This window comes from Homo sapiens, chromosome 11, assembly GCF_000001405.40.
Source record: "Homo sapiens chromosome 11, GRCh38.p14 Primary Assembly".
NCBI classification, from domain to species: domain Eukaryota; kingdom Metazoa; phylum Chordata; class Mammalia; order Primates; family Hominidae; genus Homo; species Homo sapiens.
In genome coordinates, this window is record NC_000011.10 from 89836629 (window position 1) to 89852287 (window position 15659).

Below are 15659 nucleotides of genomic sequence, written 5' to 3' on the forward strand. Positions count from 1 at the left end.
GAGATGTTTTAATACACGTTTTGGATTTTTAAATGACGAATGCTCAACTTGTAATAGAGAGAATAGTGAAAAGTAATTCTGATAATTCTGTGCCCTCATCATCTTGTCTTTATGCTTTTTCTGAATATCATATAGTTAACAAATATTTTTGGTACTCCAGTAAAAAAAGCATCTTTTCAGCATTGGTTGTATCCTCACAAGCAAGGAAGGGAAAATAAATATCTCAGTAATCTGGGATTATTTATTTAAACAGTACAAATAATTTATATTATTAAGGACAAAATTTACATTCAAATTATCTGAAAAATGTTTTCTTCATATACCTATAATAGATATAATTAAAAAGAAATGTTAACTCACATCAGTGTTGCTGAAAGAGACTTGGGAAGTTCTTGCTGTGATCAGTCTCTGAACTCTGACATCTGCCTCTCCATTCTAGTGCATCCTATGCAGGGCTGCCCTATCTCAAAAGACCTATTTTTGACATAATAAGTTGGATTTGTGCTGCTCAGAAATGTCAGTGCATCCCTACTACCAACTGATTAATTACAACATACTCTGCTTAACACTGAAAGCCCTCCACTCTGTGACCCTGGCTTTTTCTAGTTTTATTTCATGTTGTTTTTAGTATCTATGTATCATATTCAGCCAAACAACTGAATTTTCAAAGTCTGATTTCTTTCTACCTTTGTATTGTCATTACCTTTACATAGAGTTCCTTATTTCCACTTTCATCTGGCAAAACTCTGTTTATCCAGAATAACAATATTATGAGGCCATTAATTTTGAAAATGTTAAACATTTGTGATTAATTTATGCTTAATTCTGTGTAAAATCAAAAAAGTAGAACACAATTTGAACAACATTTTAAGATGGAAGGAAAAAAAATACTTGGTGAGAATACTAAGGTAATTTCTTTAAAGTAGAATTTTGAGGGTAAACATCTGTGTATTAAATAGAATATCATTATATAAATATCAAATCCTGGGAGCTGATGTAAGGATACATAGAAAGATAAGAGTAGATGACCCAGAAATAGGTTCAGTGATATATAAGCAAGTATTAGTAACAAAGAATACAGCAAAAATTGATGGGGAAAGATTATTCAACTATAGTATGGTATAAGCTATGTTAGTACCTGCTATAAAAGTAAATTCAGAATTGCAGTTCACGTTGTATGCTAACGTAAACAACAGGTGTAAAGAATCCCTTTATGCCAGGAGTTCGAGACCAGCCTGGGAGACATAGTAAAACACCATCTCTACAAAAAAGAAAAAGAAAATTAGCCATGCCTGGTGATGTACCCCTGTTGTCCTAGCTACTTTGGAGGCTAAGGTGGAAGAATCACTTTATTCCAGGAGTTTGAGACTGCAATGGGCTACAATTGCAATGCTGCTCTTCAGCTTGGGTGACGGAGTGAGACTTTGCCTCAAAAACAACAAAAAGCTTTAAGTAGCCGTTTTATTTTAGAAGTATAATTCTTTCTTCTACAATTAATAAATTTACATATGACTAGGCCAGATGTATCAGACAGAGATTGTTCTCTACTACTTATATCTCAAGAAAAATGGAAGACACTTAGAAGGAAGCTCTAAGAAAAACATTTTTTTTCATCATTCTGGACTTTGAGATTATAATTCTTTAGACTGATTTTCTGTCTCGGTGGTGGATATCATCCTGGAAGTTAATTTGTTCAAAAACCTCACATAATCTGATATTTTAAAAAACATGAAATTCATAGGATCCATGAATTATTGTGCCTTAAAAGTCTTCAGAAATTCAGGGATAATTTCTGTAGGATCTCAGGCCTTCTGCATTGTTGGGACTGAGACTCACAGCACTGGGTTGCAGACGTCTGTTAACAGGTCTGGACAAGGAATGATGTCAGCCCAGATAATTCTAAGGAAGGCTTTCTGCTTTGTTATAAGGAGAGTAATCATTGAAGTCTCTAGACAAGCTCACAATCATCATTCCAGCATATGCAAATACATCAGAACAGTTTCAGTATGCTCCTGGTTTATGAATCTTCATCTGCCTCTTTTCCATATTCCTATTTATTTATTTATTTATTTATTTATTTACTGAGATGGAATCTTGCTCTGTCACCCAGGCTGGAGTGGAATGGTACAATCTCGGCTCACTGCAACCTCCGCCTCCCAGGTTCAAGCACTTCTCCTGCCTCAGCCTCCTGAGTAGCTGGAGTTACAGGCGCCCGCCACCATGCCCAGCTAATTTTTTGTATTTTTAGCAGAGAGGGGTTTCACCATGTTGGCCAGGCTAGTCTCGAACTCCTGACCTTAGAAGATCCGCCTCCCTGGACCTCCCAAAGTGCTGGGATTACAGGCGTGAGCCAGCGCACCTAGCCCTTTTTCCCTATTCCTAAATGTTTTCTCATAATTTGTTCCTTACATACTTCTTTGCTGGAATACTCAGACCCTTCTTTGCCACTCATAAACTACAATGAGGGTCCAATTCAAGTATCATAGGAATGGTTCAAGTAAACTTTTCTATAACTAGCCAAGAAAATAAATTGTTAATACACAGGGACTAGAGAAGCCCAGAGGAAGTGCTGCTAGGTCAATCACGGGCCCCAAGGCAGACATTCCATGGGTTATACTTAAAAGACACTCTATTGAGCCCAGACGGGGGGAGCTTTTCAGGCAAAGACTCACAGGTCCAATTGATGAGAAAGGATAGAACATGAAGTGCATTGGAGGAATTGCCAGAAACTGGGTAAAATTGGATCAAAGGAATGTGACCTCGTGGTCTCCCCATGGGACTGAGAATGTTAGAGTGCTTGTTGGAAAGACGCTATTCTGAAGGCAGAAAGACATTTAGATACCTATTGTAGAAATCCAGATGAGAGCATAGAAAATAAAAATAAAGTAATAGTCAAAAAAAATCATGAAAGATTTGTAAATCAAGAAAAACATGATTATGGAAATATTTTCTTATAGACAAGAATAAATAATTATTTAAGGTGATCTCCTATACTGTAACTTAAATCCCAGACAGATGACCTTGTTCCTCAGGTTTTGAGATATGGAATAAATGAAGAGATAAAACGCAACATGTTGAATGTAAATGATTATGGAATATACAGCTGATGATGATGTGAGATGATACGTTAACTACATGATGAATTGAAATGAGGTGAATGATGTAGGCACTGACATGAGCTTTAGGCTACTATTGACCTTCTGTTTTCATGAATCTGTGTTACTGTCCTTACTTGCAGTAAATGGCTTAGTGTCACTTGTTTTAGGGGATCTTTTGCTAAAATCTTCATATAGGTTCAATGCTTTCTGGGGAAACATGTTGCCATCCATTGGAACACATTTCTTGTTCATGCTTTCTACATACATTTAACGACCGTTTTTATAATCTTAAATAAGCACTTATTATACACTGCGGCTGTAACGTCTGCTGTTTGAAATGCAATGCAAAACTTGTTTGGATTTGTTTTTCTTCCTTCACAATTTTATGAGTAAAAGATTCAACCCACAACCTCAGCATATTTTTTTTCATTTCTTTTTGAGTAGAAAACTTTTACCTTTTCATTTAAAAGAAGCACTTTATTATGGCTTCTCTTTAGCATATTTGAATGACCAGCATCACTACTTGTGTGATTTGGGGACATTATTGAGTAAGAAATGAATTACTTCAACACAAGCACTGCCATACCATAGCAGTTGAATAAATTGATATCTGAGAGGTTACTGATGATTGTGCTGGTATAAATCATGTCCTAGGTGGGACAAAGTAGGACTGAAAAAGATTTCATCATGATATTCAGAACAGCAGGGAACTTAAAACTTAGAAACTGTTTATTTGTAGATTTTTTTAATTTAATATTTTTTGGCCAGGTTTTGATCCCTGGTAACTCAAACCTCAGAAAGAAAAACTGTGTTCTCATTGCACATGCACCCTAGAACTTTAAGTACAATTATATATATATATTTTTTTTTATATTTTATATATAATATTTTATATTTTATATATAATATTTTATATATTATATATAATATTTTATATATAATATTTTATATATTATATATAATATATTATATATAATATTTTATATTTTATATATAATATTTTATATATTATATATAATATATTATATATAATATTTTATATATTATATATAATATATTATATATAATATTTTATATATTATATATAATATATTATATATAATATTTTATATATTATATATAATATTTTATATATTATATATATAAAAGAAAAAAGAAAAAATGTGGATAAGGGGGACTATTGCACATAACCATAGATACATTTTCTCCATGATTTGTATGTGGTTAAACATAAAATAAGCTGAGAAAATACATAAGCACTCTTGACTATAAGTCTTGTGGGGGCTATTGGCAAAGAATTCCTCTGTCAGAAAATGTTTGAGTAGCCGCTTCTGAAATCTCTTCTTTTTTTAATTGTCACATGACAACAAAAATATTTGTTATAGAAAGAAAAATATAATCCATCCCTATCATTTGGATTCTGTATTTGTGAATTAGCCTACGTCCTAAAAGTTGTTTATAATCCCCAAATTATTACATTGCATTTCTAGTCATCATACAACATCATGCACTATGTGGAGAAAAGCATTAAAATAATAATTTATATTTCACCCATGAGATTGGCAAAGTTTTGTAAATTCAATAAGAGACCTCAAATTAGTGGGGTTATTTGGTTAATCAGTGATTTCTCTTAGAGTGGTGGAAAATAAAAAAAGTTTTATCTTCCTGTTGGACTTCTCTGGGAATAGCCTATAAATGTACTAAAGCAGCATTTAGGGTTGGAAGAGGTGGTTTATGCCTGTACTCCCAAGCACTTTGGAAGTCCAAGACCAGAGGATCATTTGAAGACAGGAATTGGAGAACAGCCTGGGCTACAGAGCCATACCCTGACTCTATGAAAAGTTTTAAAAAACATTAGCCAAGTGGGATGGTGTGAGACTGTAGTCCTAGCTACTTGGGAGGCTGAAGCAAGAGGATCCCCTGAGCCTTGGAATTCAAGGCTGCAGTGAGCTATGATTGTACCACTGCACTCCACAAGGAGACAGTTTCTCTAGAATAAATAAATATGCCCTTAGAGGAATGCCTGCATCTTGGATGAAACTCAATAAACAGTATAAAATGCATCTTAGTTAATTTCTAGTGTATGTGTAATCTCATAGGATTTATGTTACATATGATTCACTTCAGTCACGGTTTTTTGGAATGAAGGAGTGATGATAATTTAATCAGCGGTGCAAAGGTGTGTTCTAAATACTGCATAAACCTAATCGTCTTATCCTCTACCTTTCTCAATACTCCACCCTGTTAAAGAGGTGGGTGTGGTCTTCACAGATTCTTATAAAAGGACATAGAAGAGACAAGCTCAGTTTTCTCCAAAGGAGAAGGAGCACACTTAGAGGGAGCTGTATTTTGGTGACCTCTAAAAGTCAGTACTGCGGTGAATGAGCTCCAGAACTTGAGGAGTACTTAACAGAATTATTTCTGGAAGAATCACTGTGGGAACCATTCAAAGAACCCAGCGGTGAGTGAAACTTATATTGATAAAATTATATCTTCTTTCCTTTATAAAATAATAAATTAGAGTGTTAAAAATATCTCATTATCTTAAATCTACACAATGATACCATTGTAATTCATATTCTTACTATAGATTTTATGAATTATGAGGATACTAATTGTTGTTATTTTGCATTTTCTATCTTCAATATAGTTTTGAAAAAATGGAAATATCTAGTGTTTGCTGCAACAGATATGTATGCATAATGAACATATGGAGTTGATATTAATACATATATGTGCACATAAGTGTGTGTAAATATATGTGTAATGAGTGCATTAATATTAAACAATTGAATTGAGAAGACATTAATGAATGTTAATTCATTCATTCAGCTTTTAGACATAACTTTAAATTAGCAAGGTAATGATGAGAGATGCAAAACAGTGAAACTGAAAAAAATGAGAAAGCTCCCCAAAACATCCTGGTTTGGAAATCAAAACAGTTTTTTGACCAAATAAATTTATAAGATATAATTTGATACGTGATGGTGGTTGCCATCTCACTTGAGTCTTAATCTTATTAAACTATGAAAAATTCCTTAAAATGACTTAGATGACCTCTGGAGAATATTTACAATTCTAAGATTTTTCATTTCTTTCACTAAAATTCAGCAGTGTTATCAAATAAAGGAGAGTAAAGAAAAGGACTTAAAATTGCCAAAGACCATAGTTTATATATTAGTCAGGGCTCTCCAGACAGACAGAATGATAGGATGTATATGTATACATGTAGAGATACATTCATGAGCCAATTCAGTCAACCATAAACCACACATGGTGGTCACATAAGATTATAATACCAGTGTGTTTACTGTACCTTTTCTGTATTTAAATATGTTTACATACTAAATAATTACCACTGTGTTACAATTGCCTACAGTATACCGTACAGAACATGCTGTACAGTTTTGTAGCCTAGGAGCAACAGGCTGTACTGTATACCATAGGTGTGTAGCAGGCTATACCATCTAGGTTTGTGTAAGTATAGTCTATAATGTCAAAACAATAAAACCGCCTGGCTGGGCACAGTGGCTCATGCCTGTAATCCCAGCACTTTGGGAGGCTGTGGCAGGCACATCACTTGAGGCCGGGTGTTCAGGTCCAGCCTGGGCAATATGATGAAACCTCATCTCTACTAAAAAAAGGAAAAAAAAATGAAAAAATTTACCAGGTGTAGTGAGGTGTTCCGGTAATCCCAGGTACTCAGGGGGCTAAGGCAGGAGACTCGCTTTGACCCTGGAGGCGGAGATTGCAGTGAGCCGAGATTGCACCACTGCACTCCAGCCTGGATGATAGAGTGAGACTCCATCTCAAAAAGTAAATAAATAAAACCTCCTTACACATTTCTCAGAACATATATCTGTCATCAAGCTACACATGACTCTACCTGAGAGGGAATTCATCAGGAAAATTCGTTTGCTTGATTATAGAGTCTGAGCAGTTCTAATATAGGCTGTCTTTAAGCTGATGTCCTGAGGATACCGGTATCTTGACTGAGCTCAAGGCTGAAAGCCTCAGAACCAGCTTCAGGAGAAAGAAAGAGGAAATTGCCTTTTCTCTGGCTTTTTCCTTCTATCTGAGCTACCAGCTGATTGAATGGTGCCCACTCACATTGAGGGATGATGGTCCCACTCAGCTCACCAACTCACATGTCTCTCTCCTCTGGAAACACCTTCACAGACTCACCCAGAAACAATGCTGCACCAGTTCCCTAGGTATTGGTTAATCCAGTCACACTGATACCTAAAATTCGCCATCACACCATAGAGATGTAATTACACCTCTCTGAGTTTAACAAAAATCCTACTATATGTTAGTTCAGAGTTTGGGTATCCCTAGGAGAAGTTAATATAATCCACGAGAAAATAAAAAGGCCCCATATCTTTAATTATGTTTTTCTCTTCTATTAAACCAAAATTGGTTTAATTGCTGTTTTTTTGTTTATTTGGTTGGTTGATTGGTTTTTCTATTTTGTTTTGGTTTGGTTTTTTATTTTACTTTAATTTCATATTATTTTAAGTCCTAAGATAAATGTGCAGGACATGCAGGCTTGTTACACAGGTAAACATGTGCCATGGTGGTTTGCTGCCCCACTGTTGTGTCTCTAAAAATATGCCATAGGACCCTCTAGCCATCTTCTCATATTTCCTTGGCCAAGGCAGTTTTTCCCAGTCTTTCATACTCAGCAGTTACATGAAAGAAGAATAGGAACAACTACAATTTATTCTAGGCCACTTAGAATCAAACCCAATTTCCAGATCAACATTCAGAAAACGGGAAATTGAATAGATTGGTATTGTGTTACAGACAGGAAATAAAAGTATAAAGGGTTGTGAGTCATCTAGTCAGTAATATCTACTGTAAAGCCGAGAGACTCTCTCTGTGTGAGATTTTTATTTTTGTTACAGAATAAATAGTGTGCTGTGTTTTAATGAATACTGTCAAGAGAAGAAAATAGGGCTATCAGGTATCTCCACATGTTCCGAAACTTTTCATCGACCCAGACCCCAAAATGACATGTTGCTCTTTCTTCCTCAGAAACATGAATTCTGGAATCTCGCAAGACTTCCAGATGGAAATTACCTGCCCCATCTGCATGAATTACTTCATAGACCCAGTCACCATAGACTGTGGGCACAGCTTTTGCAGGCCCTGTTTCTACTTCAACTGGCAAGACATCCCAATTCTTACTCAGTGCTTTGAATGCATGAAGACAACATGGCAGAGAAACCTGAAAACTAACATTCATTTGAAGCAGATGGCTTCCCTTGCCAGAAAAGCCAGTCTCTGGCTATTCCTGAGCTCTGAGGAGCAAATGTGTGGCACTCACAGGGAGACAAAGAAGATATTCTGTGAAGTGGACAGGAGCCTGCTCTGTTTGCTGTGCTCCAGCTCTCAGGAGCACCGGTATCACAGACACCGTCCCATTGAGTGGGCTGCTGAGGAACACCGGGTAAGTGATGCCTCTGAAGATCTATTTCTATAAATGACACATGAAATTCCTGTGGGTCTATTTTCCTGGAGATTGGGTAAAGCCAAACCTGAGTCCCTTTAAGCAGCTCACTTTTGGGCTTTCTTAGCTTCAAACCTCTGAGATTTGACGAAGAAGAAGGGAAATAGAAGAAATGCCATTTCCTAGGGACTTACTTGTCTCTCATTCTCAGCCCGCTCCCTATGAAACGGTCTGCATGTTACTTTATTGTTTTCACTGGTGATTCAATTTATGGCTCTTTTGCAGGAGAAGCTTTTAAAGAAAATGCAGTCTTTATGGGAAAAAGCTTGTGAAAATCAGAGAAACCTGAATGTGGAAACCACCAGAATCAGCCACTGGAAGGTTAGTTCTGTACTACTCTACCTTCTACCTTCTCCAGGAACTTATGGTGGGCAAATGGGTGACTCTTAAAATAGGAACTTGTTATCAAACTCTAATGTTTCTGGGAGTCAATAAAAAAAAAAAAAGAAAACACTGAGAAAAAGTGACCTCATTTCTTATATAGAATAGTATGACTGTTAGAAAGGATTTCTAAGAAAACTACTGAAGTCACCCAAAGCATGCTGGTTTGTTTTCATACAAACCTGTAGCTATACACCAACAGATACCAGAAACTGGGCCATCTCACAGCATTCTATATGTGCTGGTTGGATAAATGCTGGGCACAAGATTCATTTGGCAGTCATGGAAAGCTCAAGTGAACCTTCTGAGCCTGGGTCAGCATTAATCTGAATGCTGGTGGACAAGTAGTATTTGGAATTGTATGGAAAATTTGAGGCAGAAAGAGTGACAGGGGAAATCTAGGGCAACCATGAAATTAAGAATCTCAACTAATTAATATTGAATACTACATAACATATGATGAGAAAAGTGGTGAGAAATATGGATTTGTGTCTTGAGGGAGACACGCAAACATGCTCAAAATATGGGAACTAGTATCTAAATATAAGGAAAACTCTAAGGACTTCAGAGAAATATTAAAAATGATTTTCTCTTTGTGGATGTATACTTTGAGGGTATGATAGCTAATATTAGTGTTTTGAAAAGTATTTCATAAGAACCTAGTCTATGTTGAATATTAAATTAGAAAATTTGACAGTATAGAAGAAAGAAAGCATCTTTGTCCTCACAAATCGTACAATCCAAATGAGAGAGGCAAAAATGGTCAACATGCAAATATGTGCAATACATGATGTGTTCGAGTGTGGTAGGTTCTTTGTTGGAGAATAATCAAGCAGGGAAGTAGAAAAGGACAATAGAGGCCAGAAACTGGAGATTAGTGTCTGATTTTTAAATAGGGTGGTCAGAAAAAAGACTCACTGAAAAATTCAATTTGAACGAAATTTTGAAGAGGAGAGGGAACACGAATGTGTGTATGTATATACATATATGTGGACCATGAACGTGTATATATGTATATGTGTGTGTGTGTGTGTGTGTGTGTGTGTGTGTGTGAAATTCTAGTTGGAGAGAACAGCATATGCAGTAATTTTGAGTTTGTGTATATTTGGAGGCCTGAGGAACCACAAAGAAGTCTATGTTTCAGAATGGGATAACTTAGAAAAAGAATGGAAGGAAATGAATTCAGAGAGACAAAGATGGCCAAATCATAAATGCAGCCTTATTAAGATAGGTTTTGCTGGGTGAAATGCATTTAGCTGGACATGCTAGTCTAAGGTCATTTCACATATAATGAGTTTAAGCAACTTGTTACGTATCTCAGAAATAGAAATAATTATTTCCTTTCTAGTAACTATAGCTCTATACTCCAACTCTTAAGCATGAACTGTTCTTACTTTTCCATAAATATTGGCTGGAATAGCGAAATTCAAATTGTGTTTTTTTATTTCCAACTATCTGAGAAAACACATTATCTTGAATAAATTTAATGTAATTGGTCAGATACATCTATGTTGATTTTTATACAGAAAGAAAGGAAATGAACAAAATTTTGTGGATTCTAAGAACCAGCAAGACTGAGGTTTAAATTATTGGATGTTCGAGTGACAAACAGAATCAGTGAGATTTAGTAGGAGATGGATATATACATTTCTCTTTTGACTAACCCATTATCACTGCAGGATTATGTGAATTTAAGGCTAGAAGCTATGAGAGCTGAGTATCAGAAGATGGCTGCATTTCACCATGAAGAAGAAAAACATAATTTGGAGATGCTGAAAAAGAAGGGGAAAGATATTTTTCATCAACTTCATTTAAGTAAAGCCAAAATGGCTCATAGGAGGGAGATTTTAAGAGGAATGTATGAGGAGCTGAAGGAAATGTGCCATAAACCAGATGTGGAGCTACTTCAGGTACAAACTCACAATGTGGTTTCAGGTTTTTGAATATTCACATGTGTAAGTATATTCCTCATGGCTGAAATCCATCTCCCTACCTTTATTTCCATGATGTGTTTCCAAAAACACATTCGCATAACTAATGCTACTTTGTTGGGAGAGTATAGCCCCGCCAAGGGATTCTACCAGGCCAAAGGTCCCTCCTACTTTATCCACCAGCCACAAAACTTTGTGGAATGGTCAAGCTGACAGCCCCAATAACTATTCCCCATCTAAGTCAATAATATATTTTGGGTTGTTTAACATGTATAAAATAGTGAGTGATTCATTTACATTTAGGTTAATTTGAGGACATGGCAAGATCAGAAGTTTTGGGAATCTAGGCTCACATCAATATTATTTTGAGGTCCACTCATTTGGGTAATAGGTTCTGGGAAAGATGACTGGGTAGGTTATTTGAAGTTATCACAGAGCATAGACTCTCTGGGCCTCTTCTCCCTTCACTTCTGGAGAGAATGTCTTCAAGACTCAGACTTTACCAGGACATTAATTAATGACAAAACGACTAACTGGGATTTTCATTACAGAAGAAACAGAAAATGCTTTCCAGATGGTAGGGAAATAATATCTTTAGATACTGACTCGAAATTTCACACTGAACTTAGTGAAAGGTGCATCTTGTGAAATGTCCTACATATTTCTATTTTTTTTTACAGGGTTTCGGAGACATATTACACAGGTGAGTGTTTACCTAGATTTTAGTATATATTCTTTCAGTTTCCATGAATATCAAAGCAGGCTCTACCAAAGTCATGGCATAAATGATTAAGATATTGATTCTACCTTTTTTTTGCATCTGCTTTCACTCTCACACCAGAAAAGACAAGAACACTAAATAAATAAATAAATAAATAGTGAAATAAAAAAAAATGTTTATTCCTGATTTTGTTTTATTGCTTAAAAGCCTGCATAGGTGAAAGATAAAGTTTTGTTTTGTGGATGGTGAGAAAGTCACCAGAGGAAGCAGGAGAGAAGTGGGGGAAGTATTTCAGCAGTGAAAAAGTTGATGATTTGTTGTTCATACCTACATACATATCAGTTAACAGTCCTGAAAAATAGGTTGAAAAAACTGTGGAGTATTAGAACTGTATAAGTCTCTAGGGAGGCTTGTTTCTAAAAGGCAGATCTAGCTGCCTAGAACAAGTTTCACATTCTTTATCTTGAAAAGGAAGCAGCAGATGCAGCAGTCTCCCCAGAACCCCGCTATTTCAGACAAAGATGTCAGGGGAGTCTGCCAAGAAGTGGAACTCAGAATTTCATTTCCAAATATTCTCAAGGCCATAAGGCTAAGGAACCTTACACATGTGGGGCAGAAAAAAAAGAAGGATCAGACTGAATTCTGACTCAGACTCTCCCACTATGCTTTAAAATTTGGAAACTGTAAATAGAAATTAATTCCAAAAAGGAAGGAATAATTTTTGAGTAATCAAATTTGTGGATTCAAAGGATTCTCATGAACTGTCTTTTAAATAGAAATAGTGGTTTTTGTTTATTTTATGGCTGTAGATGTTGTAACTGCAGGTTTTTCCTTCCAGGAGTGAGTCCGTGCTGCTGCACATGCCCCAGCCTCTGAATCTAGAGCTCAGTGCAGGGCCCATCACTGGACTGAGGGACAGGCTCATCCAATTCTGAGGTAAGTCTCCACCCACAGGCAGCACTCCCACTATCTAAATATTATTATTGTTAGGACCACATGGGTAATACTTCACCATTTATCAAATATTTTACTTCTTTATAGACATAAGTGAACAACATAATCATGCAACCCTTTTGTATCTGTGTCTGTATAGTCAGATTTATAGCATTAAGTTTGAAAGATAGTGAAAAACAAATACATTTTGGCCTCATATGTACTGAGTAATGTAATGGGAAAAAAGAGTAGTGTAGCAAATTTAAAAAAGGAGCAAATGGAACAATGCTCAGAATGAAGGTGAGTTATTTAATGTTAAATACAAAATTTTACATTTCCTTAGTGTATTCATTTGAACAGCTAAGAACTTTTTTTGGGATTATGGTTTACTGGGGATTGCTGAGGGTTTTTAATTTTTTAAATGGATATGTATCATGTATTGCAAAAAAAAATAGTTAATGGGTAAACATAAAAAGAAGAAACCATTTTGTGAATACAAGTAAAATTACAAACAAGAAGAACTTCAGTTTAATTGCAATATGAAGAGCTACATGATAAGTTTAAAATCCAGCTTCAGCCCCAAGCTAGCATGGAGGACCACAGAGAGACTGGTAAAAGATTTTACAGAAATCTGCTTTAAATTGTCACTTACGACATGTACTTACGGATTTTTATCCAGTCATCAAGAGCAGTTCTTGAGTAACTGAAAATCTTCACATTCTTTCCAAAATGATAGCACTAGTTTTTAAGAATAAGAAACATTTCTAAATAATGATCTTGATAATAGCATAGCATTTAGGGCATATAATGTGCAAATTTTGCTTTGAAAATTGGATTGAAAGAAGTTGGTCTTACATTTGGCTCTCAATAAGTAAGTTTTCAAAACATTTTTAATACCTGTGGTTAGTGTTTTGTTTGTCTTGTAGTTAATCATCTCTATGCTTTATTAGAAGTTAGAAGCAAAAGTGTCCTTGTGACTCTACATTTCCTGGTAAATTAACTTCTTGATAGAACAATTTTTGCTTATTGACACATGTCTATGCATGTTTTGTTTCTTTCTCTTTTATTTATTTATTTATTTATTTTGCAGTGGATATTACTCTGCCTCATAATGAAGCCAACAGTCATATCTTCCGATGTGGAGATTTGAGAAGCATGTGTATTGGATGTGACCGTCAAAATGTGCCCCATATCACTGCAACACCTACAAGTTTTCTTGCATGGGGTGCTCAGACTTTCACCTCTGGCAAATATTACTGGGAGGTCCATGTGGGGGACTCTTGGAATTGGGCCTTTGGTGTCTGTAATAAGTATTGGAAAGGGAAGAATCAGAATGACAATATATATGGAGGGGAGGGACTCTTTAGTCTTGGATGTGTCAAGAATGACATTCAGTGCAGTCTCTTTACCACCTCCCCACTTACACTGCAATATATCCCAAGAACTACCAGCCACATAGGATTATTCCTGGATTGTGAAGCTAGAACTGAGCTTCGTTGATGTTAACCAAAGCTGCCTTATATACACCATCCCTAATTGCTCCTTCTCACCTCCTCTCAGGCCTATCTTTCGGTGTATTCACCTCTGACCAGAGATAAATCAGAAATGTGTTCATCTGCTGTGAGAATCCCTTTATTCCAGGAAGCCCTCTTCCTTGTGCCTTATCAAACAGGACAAATAGGTTCTGTTTTATGTCTTGAATTGCCTCCTAATGTTATTAAAACTCATTTATTGTGTTACTATTAAAAATGGTAAAAACACTAAAAGTATATGTATTGGTTCTTTATTAATTTTTGAGAAATCATTATTCGTGATCATGGCATACAGTATATTCTGTTTTTTTTTTTTTCTTTATTTCTGACTGCCACTGAGTGAAATAATAGATGACAGACATGTCTGAATGGAGTTAAAATCAATGGAAGAGAGTCGGGATCTTTTGCTTCATGCAAAAGCTTGGAGTGAAGTCTTGATAGCTGGGAAATGTTTTTCTTTCTCTTTACCTAACTATATTGCACTTATCCATCACATTTCATTTTACTAATCTATCCTTTGAGTTAATATTATTTGATCTTCCATGCTGGGCTTCATTTCGGAATTCTCACCACATAGATAAACAATCCTGCATTAGTGTGCTCTTCTACATTGAAATACACAAGGTGGTCAGAACAATGCTGGATTAATTGAATTTTAAAAAACAACTAAATATTGACTCCTACCTCAAAACACACACAGTCATTTCCAAATAGATTCAAGTCCTGAAGATTCAAGTCCTGATACAATATTCTCATAAGGATTTCTTAACCAGGACAAAAATTAACAATTAAAAAAATTAGTCGGTTTATATTAATAACGACTTCTGTGTTTCAAAAAACATGATACAAGAATTGAGATGCAAACAATTAGTGGAGAAAGAGATTCACCCGAACTATATAAAATGAAATACAATACATGTGCATGATGAATACTTAAAATGTATTTTAAGTATTTTTCCAGATTCTTCCAGAGTGGCATAGAATAAACTTGGATGGCAGAGTCAATGATGAGATTAGCTGTGGAAATGGGAAACCGTTTTTTGGAGGACAGTAGTAATGCTGTGAACCTATGAAAACAACCAATTATTCAGTAGCAACTAAAATGTGTCTCCATAAGATTATTTTACAGATGCGTATCTGAAATCTGAAATTTGGAAGAACATTCTACTAGTGTTCTCTAGTGAAAAAATACAGCTGGAAGGAAGAAGGGAGGGAAGATGAAGGAGAGAGAAACAGAATGCATTTGAGAGAAAATGCTATTTAGACTAAAATAGAATACTGCAGATACCATGACAAAGTGGTTAAGGTGTGTCTTATGGAGCAGAAATGGCAGAAAATACCACAGTGAAGAGATTTACAATTGGATTGTTAGTTCCGGCTTTTATCCTGTCAATGTTGTGGCTTCTAAACACATCAGTAATCTCCTTTGATCCATGTGCTAATTAACAACCAACACTCTGCCCCCTCTCCCAGATTCTTTCCATCGCTTTAAACCTAATCTAATTCTAATCCAGCTGGTCACTGTAACACATGTAATCACCTAATAATTTT

The 15659-nt window shown here is 35.6% G+C and overlaps 1 pseudogene; it reads left to right on the forward strand.

The window, feature by feature from the left end:
* On the forward strand, positions 5365–14636 carry TRIM53BP (tripartite motif containing 53B, pseudogene; annotated as a pseudogene).